This window comes from Homo sapiens, chromosome X, assembly GCF_000001405.40.
Source record: "Homo sapiens chromosome X, GRCh38.p14 Primary Assembly".
In the NCBI taxonomy this organism is placed as follows: domain Eukaryota; kingdom Metazoa; phylum Chordata; class Mammalia; order Primates; family Hominidae; genus Homo; species Homo sapiens.
The window spans coordinates 86,512,722-86,535,235 of record NC_000023.11 but is presented as its reverse complement, the minus strand read 5'-3'; the positions used below and the strand labels follow the sequence as shown (position 1 = coordinate 86,535,235).

At 36.2% G+C, this 22,514-nt stretch overlaps 1 protein-coding gene across 8 annotated transcripts in view, besides 1 other annotated feature; it reads right to left on the bottom strand.

Moving 5' to 3' along the window:
• Positions 1-22,514, bottom strand: part of DACH2 (dachshund family transcription factor 2) — a 684,152-nt gene that overhangs the window by 297,367 nt on the left and 364,271 nt on the right. For all 8 annotated transcript variants that reach the window (XM_011530846.3, NM_053281.3, XM_017029254.2 and 5 more), the window contains one exon: positions 20,845-20,957. In XM_011530846.3, coding sequence (XP_011529148.1) covers positions 20,845-20,957 — 113 coding nt within the window. The remainder of the gene's footprint in view (positions 1-20,844; positions 20,958-22,514) is intronic.
• Positions 21,181-21,696: an enhancer, noted in NCBI's record as "NANOG hESC enhancer chrX:85768543-85769058 (GRCh37/hg19 assembly coordinates)". NCBI's record gives its function as "activates a minimal SCP1, AML or CMV promoter by ChIP-STARR-seq in primed H9 embryonic stem cells {active_cell/tissue: H9 hESC(primed)}" and the evidence as "EXISTENCE:reporter gene assay evidence [ECO:0000049][PMID:30033119]".

Below are 22,514 nucleotides of genomic sequence, written 5' to 3'. Positions count from 1 at the left end.
TCATTTTCAGGCATGTAACAGACGGTGAGTAAATACTAAATGGATGAGTTGAATGAAGGAGACATTGCAAAAATGAAATTATGACTTCTACCCCATCTGCCTAAAAAAACATAAAATTAAACAATGCTTTTCAAATAGAGCTATTCATAACTTTTAATCAAGAAACATCAATATATTGGCTGTCCTATCTCCTTGCTTATTCTAAAATAATGTGCATGATATAAAAATTATAAATTTGTTCATTGTGAGCAGATAACTAGATAACTTTGTTTCAAATTTAGTTGATGATCAATGCAAATTTGATAAGATAAATTAAAATTTAAAGACTATTTTGAAAAAATATAAATTTAATTTAATCTATCATGTGATTATTAAATTCCTTGAAAGTCCACTTAAAAGGCATAAATTGAAGTGAACAGCAAATGGGACATAGGAGAAAACTGAGAGAGTATACAATCCTAAAGTAAAAAGACATACAATAATAAAACCAAAAGCATACAACCATGAAATCCATAAAGGAAAATAAACAATTAAAAAAGAGAAAGCACTTTAGTAAAGTTATAGGGCTAAATGAAAGAGAATACTAGGTCATTCAGCAATAGAAAGGGAGAAGGGTATTTCTGAGTCTAGAAAGAAAGCCAAGTGGAGTCTAATGCATGATTTAGCTCAAGCCAAATACGGTCTGACCAGCAGAGCTAAATTTCAAACTCTTGAGTTTTCTGTTCACTGAGGTTTTTATTTTTATTTAAGTGATATTGCAGATATTAAGGGAAGAAAATATATAATGACTTTCAAATAATTTGCTAATTTATTCCCTATTTGTGTGTCATCTTGTCATCCAACATACATGATACAATTCAAAAATAATTTTTCAGCTTTCTATTCTGTGAACAGAAATAGTTCATACAACCTACTTTCATTCTGTCTAGACAAATACAAATGGCCAATTAACTTCTTCCTTCCCTTCCTATAACTCCACAAAACTGTTGCCATACTATGATAAAGCTTCAACTTGGGGCACTTTACCTCCCACCATCTTTTGTTTTGATTTGCCTTATAGCTGCTCTCCCTAACTTCGTCATGGAATACTGCAAAGACAAGTGACCAAGGTTTCAAATTAACAAATTCAAATAGGAAGCAATCAGGCTATAGGGAATTTGCTAGTAAATTAATAAATATTCCAGAGCACTTTTAGCAGCCTTAAGTTATCAGTCCAATTTTCTGAGTAGCAGAGTATGTGCAGAAACTCTTAGGAGTCTAAGAAGGTTAGCAGTGCCCTTTTTCAGATACACAAATTAAAGGAGATGTCTTCATAGAAATTCTTGTTTTTGCATACATTTGACAAGCCACAAATATCACATGAGATATCACTGGCTTTATCTGGCCTCCTTGATCCTACCATTCTGGAATTAAAAAAAAAATGGCATAGAAGTAATGGCACCAAAGAATTTGTAAGAGTAGAAAATGGAGCTGGTGGTTGATAATCATTGGTCAACTTATTTTGTAGAAAGAACTTGGTACTCCTAATAAATTGGGGAAAATGGTCTCACTATTCAATATTTTACTTTTACTTTAAAGAGAATAAAAATGATTGTATGTAATTAATGCTCTGCTATACTAACTCAGAAGTACTTATGTCAAAAAATAATACGATTTGATAATAAGCTTTTGCTTACCTTCATAAATCATACAAAACAGAGTGAAGAGCATGCAAAAAGCCATGGAAGTGTGAAAGAGTAAGAGATATATGAAGAACAGAGAGAAGTTTATTTAGGTTACAGAGTACACTGTATTTAAAGAAGTTATCAGAGATGATGATAGAAAGTTACAATAAAGAAGATCAGAAAAACACTTTTTCTATGTGAAGGAATTTTAACTTTACTTTCAATGAAAGGGCATAGAAGAGTTTCAAGCAAGGGACAGATAATTAATAAAAATAAATGTAAAATAATTTGGGGAGTCAGAGACCAGCCTTGGCAACACAGTGAGACTAAACCTCTAAAAACCAACACAAAAAATTTAGCCATGCATGATGTCACATTCCCATAGTGCTAGCTAATTTGGAGGCTGAGGCAGGAGAGTCACTTGAGTCTAGGAGTTCAAGGCTGCAGTGAGCTATGACTATGCCACTGCCCTGCAGCCTGGGCAACAGAGTGAGACTCTGTGTTTAAAAATTAAAAAATAAATAAATAAATAAAACAATGTAAGTTATTAAAAAATTGTCCATTGCTAGTCAAATGAACAAAACTAAAAGGTAAGCAAATTATGGTTTTTGTTATAAATTCCAAAGAAACAGAAACAGAGAACTTTATTTTACTTATTTCTTTTAAACAATGTTATGCATTTCTAAAACATTGTTTTAGAAATGAACAATGTATGGTTCTATCTCAAATAGGATACTCAAGAAGGATATTTGGGAAATTGAGATCATAAACTTCAACAGATGTCACCTTCAGAAAGGAATGAGCTTATTATGAATAAACCTAAGGTTATATAAATCACTCTCTATAAATTTATTATCTCAATAAGTATCTCTAACAGAACTTGAACTAGACTATTAGTTCATTTTCATACTGCTATAAAGAACTACTTGAGACTGGGTAATTTTAAAGAAAAGGGGTTTAATTGAATCACAGCTCTGTATGGCTGAGGAGGCCTCAGGAAACACAATCATGGCAGAAGATGAAGGAGAAGCAAGGCACATATTACATGGTAGCAAAATAGAGAGAAAGAGAGAGAGAGAGAGAGAGAGAGCTATACTTCAAAACCATCAGCTCCTGTGAAAACTCACATGCTACCACAAGAACAGCAAGGACAAAATGTGTACCCATGATCCAATCATCTCCCACCAGGCCCCTTCTCTGACACATAGGGATTGCAATTCAAGATGACACTTTGCTGGAGACACAGAGACAAACTACATCATTATACCCCTGGCCCTTCTCAAATCTCATGCCCTTTTCACACTGAAAACCAATCATGCCTTCCCAACAGTACCCCAAAATCTTAACTCATTCCAGCATTAACTCTAAAGTCCAAGTCCAAAGTCTCATCTCAGACAAGGCAAGTCCCTTTCACCTATAAGCCTGTAAAATCAAAACAATATAGTTACTTCCAAGATACAATGGGGGAACAGGCATGGCTTGAATGTTCCCACTCCAAATTGGAGAAATTGCCTGAAACAAAGGGGCCACAGGCCCCATGCAAGTCCAAAACCCAGCTGAGCAGTCATTAAATCCTAAAGCTCTAAAATATTCTCCTTTGACTCCATGTCTCACATCCAGGGTATGCTGATGCAAGGGGTGGACTCCCAAGAACTTGGGCAGCTCTACCAGTGGCTCAGCAGGGTACAGCCTGAGCAGTTGCTTTCAAGGGCTGGCATTGAGTGCCTGCGGCTTTTCCAGGTTCATGGTGCAAGCTGTTGGTGGAGCTCCTATTCCAGGTTCTGGAGGATGGTGGCCCTCTTCTCTCAGCTCCACTAGGCAGTGTCCCAGTGGGGATGCTGTGTGGGGGTCCCAATTCCACATTTTCCCTCTGCATTGCCCTAGTAGAGATTCTTCATGAGGGCTCTGCCCTGTAGCAGACTTCTGCCTGGACATCCAGGCATTTCCATACATCCTCTGAAATCTAGGCAGAAGTTCTGAAACCTTAACTCTTGCCTTCTGCACATCTGTAGACCCAACACCATGTGGAAGCTGCCAATGCTTGGGGCTTGCACTCTCTGAAGGAACAGCCCAAGCAGTGCCTTGGTTCCTTTTAGCCATGGCTGGAACTGGAGTGGCATGGACACAGGGCACCAAATCCTGAGGCTGCACAGAGCAGCAGCAGGACCTTAGGCCCACCCCACAGAACCATTTTTCCCTCCTATGCCTCCAGGTCTGTGATGGGAGGGGCTGGGGCAAAGATCTCTGAAATGCCCTGGAGATATTTTCTCCATTGTCTTGGCTATTAACATTGGGCTCCTTGTTACTCATGCAAATTTCTGTAGCCGATTTGAATTTCTCCACAGAAAATGGGTGTTTCTTTTCTACCTCATGGTCAGGCTGCAAATTTTACAAATTTTTATGCTCTACTTCGCTTTTAATCACAAATTCCAATTTCAGACCATCTCTTTCTTCATGCATATGAGCATACACTTTTAGAAAAAGTCATGTCACATCTTGAATGCTTTGCTGCTTAGAAATTTCTTACACCAGATACCCTAAATAATCTCTTTTAAGTTCAAAGGTCCACAACTTTCTAGGACAGGGGCACAATGCTTTCAGTCTCTTAGCTAAAGCATAGCAAGAGTGACCTTTACTCCAGTTCCCAAGAAGTTTCTCATCTCCATCTGAGACCACCTCAGCCTGGACTTCATTGTCCTTATCACTATCAGCAATTTGGTCACAACCATTCAACAAGTCTCTAGGAAGCCCCAGATTTTACCTCATCTTCCTGTCTTCTTCTGAGCCCTCCAAATTCTTCCAGCCTCTTCCCCTTATCCAGTTCCAAAGTTGTTTCCACATTTTCAGGTATCTTTATAGCAAACCTCCACTTCATTCAGTACCAGTTTTCTGTATTAGTCCATTTTCACACTGCTATAAAGAACTTCCTAAGACTGAGTAATTTATAAAGAAAAGAGGTTTAATTGACTCACAGTTCCACATGGATGGAGAGACTTCAGGAAACTTACCATCATGGCAGAAGGCAAAGGAGAAGCAAGGCACATCTTACATGGCAGGAGAGAAAGAGAGAGAAAGAGAGAGAGAAAGGAAGTACCATGCTTTAAAACCATCAGATCTCATGAAAACTCACTCTATCATGAGAACATCGAAGGAGAAATCTATTCCATGATCCAATCATCTCCTACCAGGTTCCTCCTCCGACACATGAAGATTACAGTTTGAGATGAGATTTGCATGAGGACACAGAGCCAAACCATATAAACTATGATTGGGACAAACTTTTAAACCAGAAAATCTATATTTCCCTCTCCCTTTCAGCCTATAAAATTTTCAAGTATTACTCCTATTTCCTTCTATGATCTTTGAGATATTATTTCATGTTTTTTTAAATTAGTAAATAAATTTTAATCACTTTAATCACTCAGTGCATGCCTTGAATGGGCTAATATGCTTTATATGCAAGCTTCTCTATGCCCTTGTTCACTTTAGTTATCTTTCACAAAAAAGTCAATAGATATTCTGGTCCTAAAAAATCTCAATAGATGAATGGATAAAGAAAATGTGATTGTGTGTGTGTGTGTGTGTGTGTGTGTGCGTGTGTGTGTGTGTGTGTGTGTGTGTGTGTATGTACAATGGAATACTATTTGACCATACAGAAAAATGAAGTAATGTCATTTGCAGCAACATGGATGGAAATGGAGGTCATTACGTTAAGGGATATAAGCCATAGCTTATTTATGCACAGAAAGGCAAACATCACATGTTCTCACTCATATGAGGGAGCTAAAAAAGTTGATCACAGCTGGGAGTGGTGGCTCACACCTGTAATCCCAGCACTTTGGGAGGCCGGGGCAGGTGGATCACGAGGTCAGGAGATTGAGACCATCCTGGCTAACACGGTGAAACCCTGTCTCTACTAAAAATACAAAAAATTAGCTGGGTGTGGAGGCGGGTGCCTGTAGTCCCAGCTACTCAGGAGGCTGAGGCAGGAGAATGGCGTGAACCTGGAAGGCAGAGCTTGCAGTAAGCCAAGATTGTGCCACTGCACTCCAGCCTGGGCGACGAGCGAGACTCCATCTCAAAAAAAAAAAAAAATGTTGATCACATGGGGGTAGAGTGTAATGATAAATACCAAAGACTGGGAATGGGGTATGAATACAGGAGGGGGTGAAGAGAGGTTGGTTAACAGGTAGAATCATACAGTTTGATAGAAAGAATAAGTTCTAAGGCCAGGTGCAGTGGCTCACACCTATAATCCCAGCACTTTGGGAGGCTGAGGCAGGAGGATCACTTTAGGCCAGGAGTTCAAGGCCAGTGTGAACAGCACACTGAGACCCAGTCTTTACAAAAAATTTAAAAATTTATCCAAGTATAGTGGTGTGTGCCTATAGTCCTAGCTACTGCAGAGGCAAAGTGAGAAGATCACTTGAGCCCAGACATTTGAGGTTGCAGTGAGCTATGATCATGCCACTGCACTGCAGCCTATGTGACAGAGCAAGACATTTTCTCTAAAAACAAAGAAAGAAGGAATAAGCTCTAATGTTCAATAGCAGAATAGGGTGACTATGTGACTACAGTTAACACCAATGTATTGCATTTTTCAAAATAGCTACAAGACAGGATCTGAAATGTACCCAACACATAGAAATGATAAATACTCAGGTGATGGATATCTTGAATACCCTGACTTGGTCATTACACATTCTACACATGTAATAGCATTTCACATGTACTTCATAAATATGTACAAGTATAATATATTTTAAAAATTCAAAAAATTATCTACAGAAACCAAATATTAGCCTGGGTCCCAATTTTTAAAAAGTATGAAGCATAGTGGTTACACTGTGAAAATAAAAAGATTTACTTCTCTAAATCATATATTTTTCATTAAAATGCATACCAGACACTGTTTGACCTCAAACTTCAATTTCACTTTAATACTGTGACAAAATGCCATACATTTCAGACAGTTTAAGGGTAATATCTCTTCCCATTTATTTATCCATTTACCTAATTACTTTAATTAAGCTTAGAATTCAATTCACACGTTTACAATGAGGTGTAATATCTTAAGAGTTTTTCCTTTGAAACTAAACATGGGTCTTTTATCTCTTGTGGCCAGAGTACCCTAAGTCCAAAAAGTATGCTTTTTTTTCACAATGCCCTTGCCACAAATACAAGGAAAATAATTTTTCTCCTTTAGCCTTGCAGGAAGTTGCTTTTTCCTTCCAAAGGATATCTTTTTCAGCTTTAAATGTGATCCAGATCAAAAAGCCAACTGTGTGACTATAACAAAGTCATAAATAGTATGATTCCAACTTTTAGTTTGCAAATATTTGTTTTATATACTAGACTGACCCTAAGCAAAACTGAGAAGTAGGAAGAATTTGTTTGGGTCACCTTTCCACTTTCTCTATGCTCCTCTCTCTTGCTCTTTTAGTTCCTTTTCACAACATCAAGGTCCATGACGCTGTAGAGAGCCAAACCACTGATCATCCCCAGATAATATGCCCTTCACTCTGTTCCTCAGTTTCCATTACTCCTAGACTATAAACCTGTATTTAAGCAGAAATAGATACTAATTTATACTGAGTCATGATCAAACAAAGTATGACTTACTTTAATGCAAAAATCCGCTTCTAGACAGGAGACAGTATGTTGGCAAAATGTTTGAATTCAGGTGGGATATATTGTTGAAAATATATTTCTAAGACTGGACACAGTAAGTGTTGGCAATGATATGAACAACCATACATAGCTGACAGGAATGCAAAATGACACGACTTGGGAAGACAGTTTTAAAGTTTCCTATAAACATAGACATACACTCACCATACAACCCAGCAATTCCATTTCTAGTTTTAATCAAGGTAAATGAAAACATTTCCACACAAAATGTATACATAAAGCCTTAAAGCAGTGTCAATCACAATAGCTAAAAACTGGTAAAAGAACTCCAATGTCTGAAAGAGTGAAATATATAAACAAATTATGTTATATTCATACCATAAAATACTTGCTGCTAAGCAATAAAAATGAATGAACTATTGTTATACACAACAATTTGGAATCTCAATAAAATTATGCTAAAGGAAAGAAGTCAGACAAAAAATAGTGCATTCTCTACATAATCTCTTTATATAAAATGCTAGAAAATACAAACTAATATATATTGACAGAATACAGATCAGTGGTTACCTGGGAGACAGACAGGGAAGAAAGGGTGTAGTAATAGAAAGGTTGAGAAAATGAGTATGCTCACTATCTTGACTGTGGTGATGGTTTCATAGGTGAGCAACAGTCCAAAATTCTCAAATTGTACTTTCTATGTACAATTTATTTCATGTCAATTATACCTCAGTAAAACCTTTTTTAAAGAATGTAGTTGTTAACAAGGACCTTAGTCTTCTCAAATAACTATAGATAGGCAGACATCTATCAACTGATTATTAAATTTTCACCCAATATTGGTGCTATATGAGAAAATCGCCCTCCTTTCTTACCCTCACCTCAATTTAATATTCATTGCTATCTACTATGACCCACTTCAGTTACTCTTTTTACAGGTGTTTGTGTGACTTCATATATTGTCAAATAAGGTTTAAGGGAGAAAGGGTTTTCTATATTACTATAGTTCTTCTCTGTTGGTCCCTTGATTATGCAAGTAACACTACTGAGAAAGGAAATGTCATTACTGCTGAGAATTCAGAAAAAAAAATAAATTAAGTCAGAGTATAACTGCCCCTTTTTATGTTGTAATTTAGTCTGGGAATTCTAATTTTCATTTCTACTAATCATGTAGAAAGCACGATTTGCTAACCCAGTTTGATCTAACACAGTGTTTCAAAAAGCATTCTCACCTGACACTTTCAGGTATACATTAAAAGAGTTAAATAAGAGCCCTCTGGGAAAACAAAGACAGGTATTAATAACATTTTTAAGCTCTACGTTTGGGCATTCTCTACCTTGACTCAGGTATGTGTATGAATGTGTTACTAAGAACTACCATTTTGAGAGCTCTCAGAATTTTTCCTACATTGAACATAAACTGAAAATTAGTTCAAAACATGATCTAGATTTTAGACATTGCCAGAAAGGGAGCAAACAAGTCACAAGAAAACATTTTCACCACTACAATCAAAGTACTCAATTCCTGTTCTCCAACCTTTGGTTGATTAAAATGGCAGAATACCTTATTGTCTATCAATTTTTAAAAGGTGAGTTCTAGGTGCCAAGGATACATTTTGTTACTCATTTTTGGTCACAATATGTAGGTGATACTTGTATATGACAAATTTTATTACTCTTTAATTCTTCAATAGGAAATGATAGACACTCTATTTTGCTCTGCAGAATCCCTTGGATGATTGATAAAATGTATTTTTTTTTAAGAAGGATACAGAATATATTTTGACAAACTACATGCTTTAGTATAATGGGTTATTTTAGTACAGCCATCCACTCCATCCAATAAAATAAAGTAGTAACAAGGCAGCTTATCATTTGTCAGGCATATTATACAATGGAAAGCTTTATTGTGCTATGTAAATGTTCCCTTTCTGCCCTGGAAAACAAAAGCTCGCCAGAATAAAGAGCAGACAATGAAAGAGTAACACAAGTAGTAGGTGAAAACTTGTGTATTTTATTTCATGTAATTTGTGAATTATGGGGAAAATGTGGTTGAAGGATGGGCCCTAGGGATGGAAATGTCTTTTTATAATCCAATAGACTTGGCTTGTGACTATGTAATTTTTGTAAGAGATCTCTCATTTGGGGATGGTTTGAGGATGGACCAGATGGAAAGCAGGGCACTGTGGGATACATCATTTATCACAACGACAGTGTGTAGGCATCAGTGATCCTCTCAACACAGGGGGAAGCTAAAACTGCAAATGTGGAGCAACATTACTGCCAGAGTAGTGGAGTTTGGCAACACTTGCATTTCTCATTAACTTAATCATATTAATTCATTAGCCATATATATCAAAGTAATTCACTCAGGAATTGTCACAAGGAACAATTTATAACTGTTACCTTTCTCTATACAAAAAGTAGGTTGCAGTCATTCAGAAGATTTTGCATACTTCTTAGAAGGAAAAATTATAGCCACAACAAATAATAACAATAATCATCAACCATTTTTATACTAGCTGCCCCACATGTAAACTACTATAAGAAGGAGCAAAAAAGAAAATTAAAGTGTTTTATTTTATTGAAGTTATATGATCAACGACAGATAAATAGATGGATTATTCCAAGGATTTCCTATTTCTGAAACACCAAACATCTGATCTCCTACATTTAACTTAAGCGGTTCCAATACGAGCCTGAAGATTCATAACCTCAATTTTTAATACCCAGGGTTTTTTTGTTTGTTTTTTTCAGAGATAGTTCAGCATATTTGGGAAAGTATGTTGTTTATGATAAATAAAAAGCCTGGCCTTATAAATTCTGGCTCAAATCTTTATTGTCTCTGAGATTTAGAGTAAGTCACTGAGCTTCTTAAAAACTCATTTTCTTCATTTCCTAATCAGAAACGCTAAAAATGCTTACCTCACCAGATTGCTGAGAGGATCAAATGAGAAACAATTGAAAATAGTTCTTTATAACATAGAGCTACATGCATATACATATACAGACATTAAAGATGTGAGGATGTTTGGTAAAGCACTATATAGATTATTATCATATGTCATCATCATCATTACTATCATCATCACCATCACCATCACCAACATCCTATAGGTTTGCTTAAATTTCTCCCCTCCACCTCCAGAAATAAGCAATATCTTCTGCCTTATGACCCAGCCATGCAGGACAAATATTATTGGCAGGAGCCTAAAAAATTGGGGGGAGACATTTTTAAGTTAAAATAAATATACTACATATAGAATAAGGAGCACTGACAGACATCTTAAAACAAAAATTTGTGTTTGGGAAACTGAGATTCAGCTAATATAATAAATGTAGTTCTAATTATTAAGCTGATGTGTTTAAGCTTTTTCTTTAGTAGAGAATCTGCAAATGCATGTTAGTCTAAACTCTACGTTAGAAATATTAGTAATTCAAACTCTGGCTCCTATTATGCCAATGTTTCTTTGTGAGCACCCAAGAATTAAAGAAAATGCAATGACATAAAAAACACCATATGCTGTTTATATGATATGAAGCATACTTTCCAATATTGCTCATTTAAAAACCCAAAGGTAGTCCTAGGAAAAGGTATGTTTTTAGACACTGTAAAACAGCTTCACTGCTTTCACTCCTCTCATCCAAGGAGCAATCCTGACTCCAACTCCACCCCCTGTCAGCAGGAAGTAGTTACAGCAGTCATCAGCTTTTTCCCATCTCCTTAGCTCACAACTCAGGATAGAGGTGTGCTGAAACTGAAAGAGGGAGATTGAAACTGCCTTTGCAAAATTATGACAGTAAAAGAAATCTGACATAGTTGACTCCATTTTGCTTCTAACCTCCAAGCTGTCCTTGGTCATTCCTGGGCATAGGCCAAGGTAAATTTTGGAGGAATTTAGTTTAAAGTTTAACTTTGAAACAAGGATGATAATAGTTCCTCCTTCAAACTAGTCCACTCCCTGTTCTGGGGATAAAACTGCCTAGGTAAAATTAATGTAAAGAAACAAGATTGGGATTACGGGAGGGGCCTGAGTTCTGATAAAATATAGGTGTATTATTCTAACCCAATACTGCTCAGGAGACATGTGGCCTGAAGTCTTAAGATTTGTGACTTCCCCAATTGCTCCTGTAGATAACATCACTATAGTAGATATAAGGTTGGTTTTTGGAGATTTTTTTCAGCCTGACCCCACCCAGATTCATGACTTAGGATTCGACTTATCCTGCGATCCCATCAAGAGACAGGATCAGCACATGAAAACTGTTTTCCACACCCCTATGATTTCATTCCTCAACCAATCAGCAGCACCCATTTTTCAGTCCCCTGCCCACAGAATTGTCCAAAAAAACCCTAACCTACAAGCCTTTAGAGATTGATTTGAGTAATAACTTCATCTCCTGTGTGATTGTCTTTATGTCAATTAAACTATTTTTTACTGCTAAAAAAGGAAAAATTTATTTGATTTAAGGAAACTATCAGAATGGTTAGTTTGTTTTCTAGAATGAGGGCTTGATATTTTTTTTAAACTGAGAATGTCCTAGGACATCTCTTTATGACCACTTCTTAGCATCCAATCTAAGTGAGTGAAAATTTGAAATGCATCATGAAAAGAGGGATACTGATACCAATGATGCAATGAAGTTAATTGGCCTTATATTATGAGATTGAATTCACACTGTCAACACTAGATGTAATTCTACTTTTGGTTTTGCTAATCCCGAGTTGAGTGCTGTAGGTACTATTGCTGAATTGAATCTTCATGGGCTTAGTTACCTGAAGACATGAATGGCATCTGACATTCTTAAAAAACAATTTTGCCATGATATAGCTAGAATAAACAAACCAGCTTAAGAACCTTTTAAGGAATGAACACCACAGAATTTTCATCTGAAGCACTTTATTTCTTCCTTGTAAGCTGTCCGTTTAAATCTTTCTCAGGCCAAATTTCACATCTGTCTATTAGAAATGCTTCATAAGCTGAGGAAAGGGAAGCCATCATCTTTTGGGAAACTCAAAGGCACAAACAACAAATCCATCCCATCAGTGTGATCCAGAGATATTAGCACTTCTGCAGAGATACAGAGAAGGATGTATATAATATTCCCTCTCCTTTTCTCCCTGTGTATCCCTAAATGTTTTACAGAAAATACTAGAAAATGGGATACTTATATCAGAATGAGCTATTGGGGAATTAAGCTATTGATTGTATGATGGAAACAAAGACAGAAATACATAAGATGGGAATATCAGTAGTTCAAATATATAAAGGCAACAAGCAGTCTAACTTCATTTTGGAACATCTAGAGAAAGGCTAGGTGGAATCTGGGAAAACTCTAACTCACAAAATGAATGCTATTTTAGTGTTATAATGTATTCTTATATTGCTTGGTACAGAGCAGATGTTCAATAAATAAATGTTAAATGAAAGAATGAATGCATATATAGCTCTAAATCTATTTCAATAGTATATATGTCGATAGTTACATAGATATAATATCTAAATGAATATCTGACAATATTATCAAGAATAGATCCTAAGGGACTTACCTTAGTGAATAAAGATGCATTAGTATTAATTAATATGTTGATTACTTGTATAACAGATCTCACTAAAGTGATTTCAGGTACCTAAATAACCCCAAAATATTTTAACGACACTACATTTGTGCACATATTCACATACACACACACTTATTGTTCATACATTTAATTTGCTAAATAAGATATTCTTACTAATACCAGAGACTTTGGCATATACACTGTCTGAACTCTCACAAATTCTGAACTAGTGGAGTTTAAATAAATCAGGTTTCCTTATGTAGGAAAAATATAACCAAGAGTAAAATAAATTTCTTTTAAATTAAAACAAAAATACAAATTACAGAAGAAAATAAAATCAGATAAAAATAGAAGACTTTATCTTTATAGTATGCAAATAAAGCAATATGGCACACCTAACATTATACTGCATCCTGGATGATTTACATGTCAAGCTATATAAATTAAAGGACTATTCTGAAATAAATCTAAGAATGATGCCTGAACCTTTTCTAATCCTTTTCACTGGCATTTTTTGCATGCACCTGCTGAGGAAAAAAGACCAACAATTTAACTTTTCCTCCACACATTTGAATGCAGGTGAATAAGATACTGCTGGGCATATAAAATAAATTCATGTAAACTAAGGAAGGAATTTATGTAGAGCTCTGCAGATTCCTCCACCTTCCCTTGATTACTTTTTTAACTGTCTGCATCTTTAACAAATGTGCTCATGTCTTTCCTCACTCAACGTTTTGTCTAGCTCTATAATCCCATTCTAGGCACAAGCAAAGGACTAAAAATTGAAGAGTTTTGTCTCAATGGCTCACTTGATGGTAAAGCCAAGTGGCAGGAAGTAAAACAAAGCTTGAATCCAAGGAGTATGACAGTATGAGTAACTTGAAAAACATATTTCAGAATGTCATCCATGAAGACTTCCCCAAACTTGCTAGAGAGGTCAACCGTCAAATTCAGGAAATACAGAGAACTGCTGCAAGATTCTACACAAGATCATCCCCAAGACACATAATCATCAGATTTTCCAAGGTCAAAATGAAAGTAAGAATGGTAAAGGCAGCTAGAAAGAAAGGGCAGGTCATCTACAAAAGTAACCGTATCAGGCTAACAGTGGACCTCTTAGCTGAAACCCTGTAAGCCAGAAGGAATTGGAAGCCTACATTCAACATTCTTAAAGAAAAAAATCTTCAACGAAGAATTTCATATCCAGCCAAACGTAGCTTCCTAAGTGAAGGAGAAATAAGATCCTGTTCAGATTAGCAAATGTTGAATGAATTCCTTACCACCAGACCTGTCTTACAAAAGATCTTGAAAGGAGCACTAAGCAAAGCGAGGGAAGACCACTGCCAGCTAATATAAAAACACACTTAAACACACAGACCAGTGTCACCCTAAAGCAACCACGAAAACAAGCCAACATAATAGCAAGCTAATAGCACAATGACAGGATAAAATCCACAAATATCAATACTAACCTTGAATGTAAATGGGCTAAATGCCCCACTTAAAAGGCACATAGTGGCAAGATGGATAAAAAGGCAAGACCTAAAGGCATGCTGTCTTCAAGAGACCCATCTCACAATTAATGACATTCATAGGCTCAAAAATAAAGGGATGGAGAAAAATCTACCAAGCAAATGGAAAACAGAAAAAAAGCAGGAGTTGCAACCTTAATTTCAGAAAAAACAGATTTCCAACCAATGAAATATTTTTAAGAAGGGGCATTACATAATGGTAAAGTCTTTAATTCAGCAAGAAGACCTGACTATCCTAAATATATATGCACTCAACCCAGAAGCACCCAGATTCATAAAACAAGTTCTTGGAGACCTACAAAGAGACATAGACTCCCACATAATAATAGTAAGAGACTTCAGCCCTCCAATGAAAGTATTAGGCAAATCATTGAGGCAGAAAATGAACAAAGATATTCAAGACCTTAATTCAACTTTGGACCAACTGGGTCTGATAGAACTTTACATAACTCTCCAGCCAAAAACAACAGAATATACATTCTCACCACCACATGACACATACTTTAAAATCAGCCACATAATTGGACATAAAACAATCCTCGACAAATTTTTAAAGAACCAAAATCATACAAAACACACTCTTGGACCACAGCACAATAAAAACAGAAGTGAAGACGATGAAAATGATTCAAAACCATACAATTACATGGGAATTAAGCAACATGCTCCTGAATGACTTTTGGGTAAATAATGAAATTAAGGCAGAAATCAAAAAGTACTTTGAAAATAAAGAGAACAAAGACACAACACACCAGAATCTCTGGGACAAAGCTAAGGCGGTATTAAGAGGAAAATTCATACCACTAAATGTAAACATAAAAAAGTTAGAAAGATCTCAAATTAACGACCTAACTTCACAACTGATACAATTAGAGAAGCAGGAACAAATCAAGCCCAAGGCTAGCACAAGAGAAGAAATAAAAAAAATCAGAGCTGAACTCAAGGTAATTGAGAAACAACAACAACAACAACAAAAATTCAAAAGATAAACAAATCCAGGAAGTTTTTTTGAAAAATTTAATAAAATACATAGGCCACTAGCTAGACTAATAAGGAAAAAAGAGAGGAGATACAAATAAACACAATTAGAGATGATGAAGGGAATGTTATTACTGACACCACAGAAATAAAAACAACCATCAGAAACTACTATGAAGACCTCTACACACATAAAATTAAAAAACCTACAAGAGATGGATAAATTCCTGGACATACACACCCTCCAAAACTGAGCCAGGAAGAAAGTGATTCTCTGAACAGACCAATAACACACTCTGAAATTGAATCCATAATAAATAGCCTCCCAACCAAAACAAACCTGGGATCTGTTGGATTCATAGCTAAATTTTACGAGATGTATAAAGAAGAGCTGGTATTATTCCTACTGAAGCTATTCCAAAAAATTAAAGAGGAGGGACTCCTCCCTAACTCATTCTATGAGGCCATGATCATCTTGATACTGAAGCCTGGAAGAGACACAACAAAAAAGAAAACTTCAGGCCAATGCCCTTCATGAACATCGATGAAAAAATCCAGAACAAAACACTTGCATATTGAATTCAGAAGCACATCAAAAAGATAAACTATCAAGATCAAGTAGGCTTCATCCTCAGGATGTAAGGTTGGTTCAACATATTGAAATCAATAGATGTGATTAATGACATAAACAGAACTAAAGACAAAAACCACATGATTATCTCAATAGATGCAGAACTGGTTTATGATAAAATTCAACACATCTTCATGTTAAAAACCCTCAATAAACTAGGTATTAAAGGAACATACCTTAAAATAATAAGAGCCATCTATGAGAAACCCACAGCCAACATTATACTGAATGGGCAAAGGCTGAAAGCATTTCTCTTGAAAACGGTAACAAGATAAGGATGCCCTTTCTGAACTTTTCTATTCAACATATTATTGGAGCTCCTAGCCAGAGCAATCAGGCAAGAGAAAGAAACAGAGGGCATCCCACTAGGAAGAAAGGAAGTTGATATATCTCCATTTGCAGGTGACATGATTTTGTATCTAGAAAACTCCATTGTCTCAGCCCCAAAGCTGCTCCAGCTGATAAACAACTTCAGCACAGTTGCAGGATACAAAACCAATATACAAAACTCACTAGCATTCCTATACACCAATAACAGCCAAACTGAGAGCCAAATCAGAAAGGCAATCCCATTCACAATTGTCATAAAATCAATAAAACATCTAGGAATAGAGCTAACCAGGGAGGTGAAAATCTCTACAATGAGAATTACAAAACACTGCTCAAAGAAGTCAGAGAAGACGTAAGCAAATTGAAAAACATCCCATGCTCATGGATGGGAATAATCAATATCATTAAAATGGCCATACTGCCCAAAGCAATTTACAGATTCAATACTATTCCTGTCAGACTACCAATGGCATTCTTCATAGAACTAGAAAAACCTATTTTAAAATTTATCTGGAACCAAAAAAGAGCCCAAATAGCCAAGGCAATCATAAGCAAAAAGAACAAAGCTGGAGGCATCATGTTACCCAACTTCAAACTATACTACAAGGCTACAGTGACCAAAACAGCATTGTATTCATACAAAAACAGGCACACAGACCAATGGAACAGTTTGGAGCACCCAGAAATAATGCTATGCATCTATGACCACCTGATCTTCAACAAAGCAGACAAAAATAAGGAATAGGAAGAAAACTTTCTTATTCAATAAATGGCACTTTGATAATTTGCTAGCCATATGCAGAAGACAAACTGGACCCCTTCCTTACACCATATACAGAAATCAACTCAAGATGGATTAAAGACTTAAATGTAAAACCCAAAATTATAAAATCCCTTGAAGACAACCAAGGCAATACCATCCTAGACATAGGAATGGGCAAAGATTTCATGACATAGACACCAAAAGCAATCACGACAAAAGCAAAAATTGACAAGTGGGATCTAATTAAACTTAAGGGCTTATGCACAGCAAAAGAAACTATCAACAGAGTAAACAGACAACCTACACGATGGAAAAAAAATATTTGCAAACTATGCATCTGACAAAGGTCTAGTATCCAGCATCTATAAGAAACTTTAACAAATTTACCAGAGAAAAACAAACAACCCCATTAAAAAGCGGGCAAAGGGTCAGGCGTGGTGGCTCACAACCGTAATCCCAGCACTTTGGGAGGCTGAGGTGGGTGGATCGTGAGGTCAGGAGATTGAGACCATCCTGGCTAACATGGTGAAACCTCGTCTCTACTAAAAATACAAAAAAATTTAGCCAGGTGTGGTGGTGGGTGCCTGTAGTCCCAGCTACTCGGGAGGCTGAGGCAGGAGAATGGCGTGAGCCCAGGAGGCAGAGGTTGCAGTGAGCCGAGATTGCACCACTGCACTCCAGCCTGGGCGACAGAACAAGACTCCATCTCAAAAAAAAAAAAAAAAAGTGGGCAAAGGACACGAGCAGACACTTTCCAAAAGGAGACATACACGCAGCCAACAAGCATATGAAGAAAAGCTAAATATCACTGATCATTACATTTTGTGGTATCATTAGATTTTGTGATCATTAGATTTGTGGTAAATCAAAACCACAATGAAATACCATCTTTCACCAATCAGAATGGCTATTACTAAAAAGTCAAAAAACATGCTGACGAGTTTGCAGAGAAAAGGAACACTTATACATTGTTGGTGGAAGTGTAAATTAGTTCAACCATTGTCAAAAGCAGTATGGCAGTTCCTCAAAGAGTTAAAAGCAGAACTATCAGCCTGAAATTCTATTACTGGGTATATATACCCTGAGGAAAATATATCATGCTATGATAAAGAAACATGCACGTGAATGTTCATTGCAGCACTATTCATGATAGCAAAGACACAGAATCAACCTAAATGCCCATCAATAACAGATTGAAAAAAGAAAATGTGGTATATATACACCATGGAATACTATGCAGCCATAAAAAAGAGATCATGTCTTTTGTAGGAACATGGATGGAGCTGAGGACTATTATCCTTAGCAAACTAATACAGGAATAGAAAACCAAATACCGCATGTTCTCACTTATAAGTGGGAGATAAATGATAAGAATTTATGAACACAAAGAAAGGAACAACAGATACTGGGGTCTACTTGAGAAGGGGCAGGAAGAGGGAGAGGAGCAGAAAACATTACTATTGGGTAATAAGCTTAATACCCGGGTGATGAAACAATATGTACAAACAAAAATAAATTAATTAAACTAAATAAAATTAAAAAAAAAAGAAACTCAGTTCTGCCACTCACTTGCTTTGTGACCTTAAGCAAATAATTTAAACTCGCGGAGCCATAGATTGTTTACCTTAAAAATGAAGTCATTGTCCATAAGGCTACTATGAAGATTAAATGAAGTATATATAAAACACTTGGCACCCACGGCTAGTACATAAAAAGAACTTAATATATATTAGAGCTTTTCCTCAACAAATAACCTACTAATGTTTACTCAACATGATTTAGCTTCAAGGCAATTTTAAAATTCTTTTCTTCTTTCATCTGTACATTCCCACAAAACCAGGACACAGATTTGATTATTTGCATGGTACTCTTTCTAGGCTCTAGGAATGTATTTCAGGAGGCAAGAAATAGATGGTCATTCATTGAATACCAAGATATATTTCAGATGTTGTTATGCTTTCTATCTTCATTTATATGCACAGGGCTACTCTCTTATATCAGAATTTGTTTATAAATATTTAAAGTTGAAAATTCATTATCTTCCCCCTCAAAGCCTGAGTGTCTTCCCAAGTTCTCTGTCTGAGTTAATTATACCATCATCCAGCCTATCACCCAAGCTAGACGTGAATCATCCTAGACCACCACCTTAGCCTCTACATTTAATCAATTATCAAGTGTGATTAACTCTAATTACTGAAGCACTCAGAACCTTTTCTCCATTCTATTGGATTTGCCTTCAGGCCCTCAATATTTCTCCTTTGGACAGTAGCAACGGATATTCCTTCATTTCATTACCTTCATTGCTATCAACCCTCCAGGCAATTGTTTTCTGATCATTTACTCAGTTCCTTAGCAAGGGCTCCTTTTACCTATAGAAGTTTCTTTAAGAATAAAACAAAACAAAATCATAAGTGAAGGAGAACATATAAAATTCTAACTGAGGCAGAAGTGTGGAGCATGTAAGTACTTCCTCACTTCTATGTCAGCCAGTAAGGAAAGTCCTGAAAGACACTTTGGAAACCACTGGTCTAAAGGGAAAAACTTAAATTGCTTAACATGGTAAATCAAAAACTGGTTTCAGAAGCTGGCTTTTCCCTCCCTTTCTATTCCAACCACATCACCTATAAGTCTTCTACCTTAAAGCTCTGCTCCAGTCTCTTCAACTTAACTGCTACTCCCCATAACACACTGGGCTTTTTCTCATCTATCTGTACTCTTCTATCTGCTTGGAATGCTCTTCCTCTGATTCTGCATCTGTCCAATGCTCAGCCTACAAAATACAGCTCCAAAGTTTCCATCTTATGGAGTATTACCCAACTTACCAAAATTGATATAACTGCTTCCATTTACATGATATTATAGCACCTTGTATGTGCTTGTATTTTGGCCTCTATGACACTTTAATGCAATTATTAATTTACATTCCACTCTCCCCAGTTCTAGCGTGGCAAGGACCACTACTCGTATATTTTTACAATGCCTAGAAATGAGTACCCAGAACACAACAGATGCTTTATAAATGTTCGTATCATTATGTATAAAGATATCATTGTTATTAAATTCATTTTCTATGATGTAATAGCTTTAATGATTTTTAAAGATTCAATTATAGAAATATTAAGCTTATTTTAAAGTGTTTTTGTGTACTCTCAGGTACTTTTTTAAGGACTCAACAAAGTTCAATGCTAATTTATAACACTGGAGTTTTACCAGTTATTCACAGCGTTCAATGAAAAACACTAAGACATTGTTCAGGACAATGACCACCTGCACCTTCTTCTTCTCTAATCATAAGGCTCCTATACCAAGGATGCATTTTAGGTCTACTTTTTAACCTAGAGTAATAACTTGGACAACATACATGAATGCCCAGAACCACTGGAAACTAAAAGAATATTACTGAGACCTAAGTATACAGGAGTGCTGCACCCTATAGGAGGCTTCGAGATGATGCTGTTTGGGCCAGTGCCTCCATTCCTGTCCCTAGCACAGAAACATATACATATATACAAACAATAAGGCCTTGAAAGGGATTTTCTGCAATGATACGACAATTTTTAAAATCACGTCCATTTGATTTGTCGCTCAAGTAAAAAAATTTGTTTTCACGAACACATAAAAAAATTCAGTAATGTAACCTCTAATAGAGCTTGAAAAGCTCTGAAGGACAAGGCAGTTAGATCAATATTGGTTTATTTCAAATGCTGGGCAGTACGAAGAGACATGGCTGATCATCAGATGGATTTTATTACCTGTCGGAGTGATAAGTCCTGGCGATAAGAGGCCTGGGACTGCATGGGTCAGAAGGCGGGCATTTTCCTGCAACACTCCCAAAGAACGCTTAGGGGGCCTGCCGGGTCTTGAACTGTTGAAAAACAGACAAATATAGATAAAGGTTAAAAATGTACTCTTTTTGAGAAAACCATCACTTGCAATATTTACCTTTTAAATCTTGTTTAATTGCCAAAAGTGATAGAATTTTACATTAAAGACTATTTTCGTGGATTACTAAGAGACCAATTCTTTACTTTCCGCTAAATTTTCCACCATTGTTATGGCAAACATTAGCGCCATAAGGGATCAATTTTAGTTTAGATTCCATTTACAGGCCAGCACTTTGCAATGCAGCTTACCTGTTGTGTGAGAAACCCTAAGTTACCCCTGCTTTTAAAGCTACGCTTGATCTGAAGTATTAATAAATGCTTCTGAGATCTGAGATAGTGACTCACAGAATTAAGATTATATAGAATGTGAAGTGATTAAGTCTCTGCCCAGCATGCCAGAGGTGAATAGTAAAGAGCTGAGAGATGTAGAATAGAAGCTGATGTTTATTAGCATTTCCACAGCTGCTGGGAGCCAACGAGGAACAAAGGGTTACCACCCTCAGTAGGTTTTGTTTTCCTATGTAGTTTTTAAACCAAGCTGTATAACAAGCAGTTCACTCTCTTGGAGTGGCCACACTAACAAAACCTGCCACCTTTGCAGTCTAGGCTGTCTTTTCTCTCGGATTGATTGGTGTTTTTAACTAATGAGTTGATGATAAACTTATAACATTAACCTAACCCATTGCATTTGTACATTCTTCACCCATTAGCAGTTCAGAAACTGTAATTGCAAATGCTAATAATGAAATAAAAAGTCAGTATCTGTTGCCTCCATCTTGTACCGTAATAGAGTTAGGGTACTGAAAATATCATTTTAAAGCTGTCACTACATGAAGAGACTTGTAAGTCATAGAACATTAGGATCAAGTTATTCTCGAGTCACCCAATATATTTCAAATATTACTTTCTAATGTTGCCTAAGATATTGCTGTTGCCTTTTAGTAGAAATGCATTTTACAAAGCTGAATGATATGAGTTTTGACAAAATACTGCAAAATACTATATTAAATAATTTTAGCAGCAAAAATGTATGAGGTTCAGATAGAGAACATACCCCAAAATGACTTTTGGTTTACAAAGAAATTTAAGTTAAACCTCACTCTATCAACTTTGCAGTAGCAAAATGATCCATCAATGTAAGACAAACTCTGCTTTTAAATGAAAAACAACTTCTAGCAACCTTACACGGAGGTATCGTTACCCAGTTCATTTTTCATACACTGTGCTAGTGTTATTTTCTTCCACTGTACATCAATATTATATATCAATCTAGCGCAAAAGATTCTGTTTTTCTCATTTGATGTTTCAATTTTATAAATGGACTCTCCTCTCCTTCTTTCTACTTGATTCTGGGCCATAATTTATTTTCTTTAACTCAGTGTTTTACCGTGTTTGCCTTTGCCCTATTTTATGGCTTTCTGACTCTTTTAAGGAATGCTGGAAGCAGAAATATCCTATGTACTTCGAATGTCCTAAAGGATCCCAATATCACTGAAAAATGTTCATCGGAATATATCCAGGCATCAGAGAAAGACACA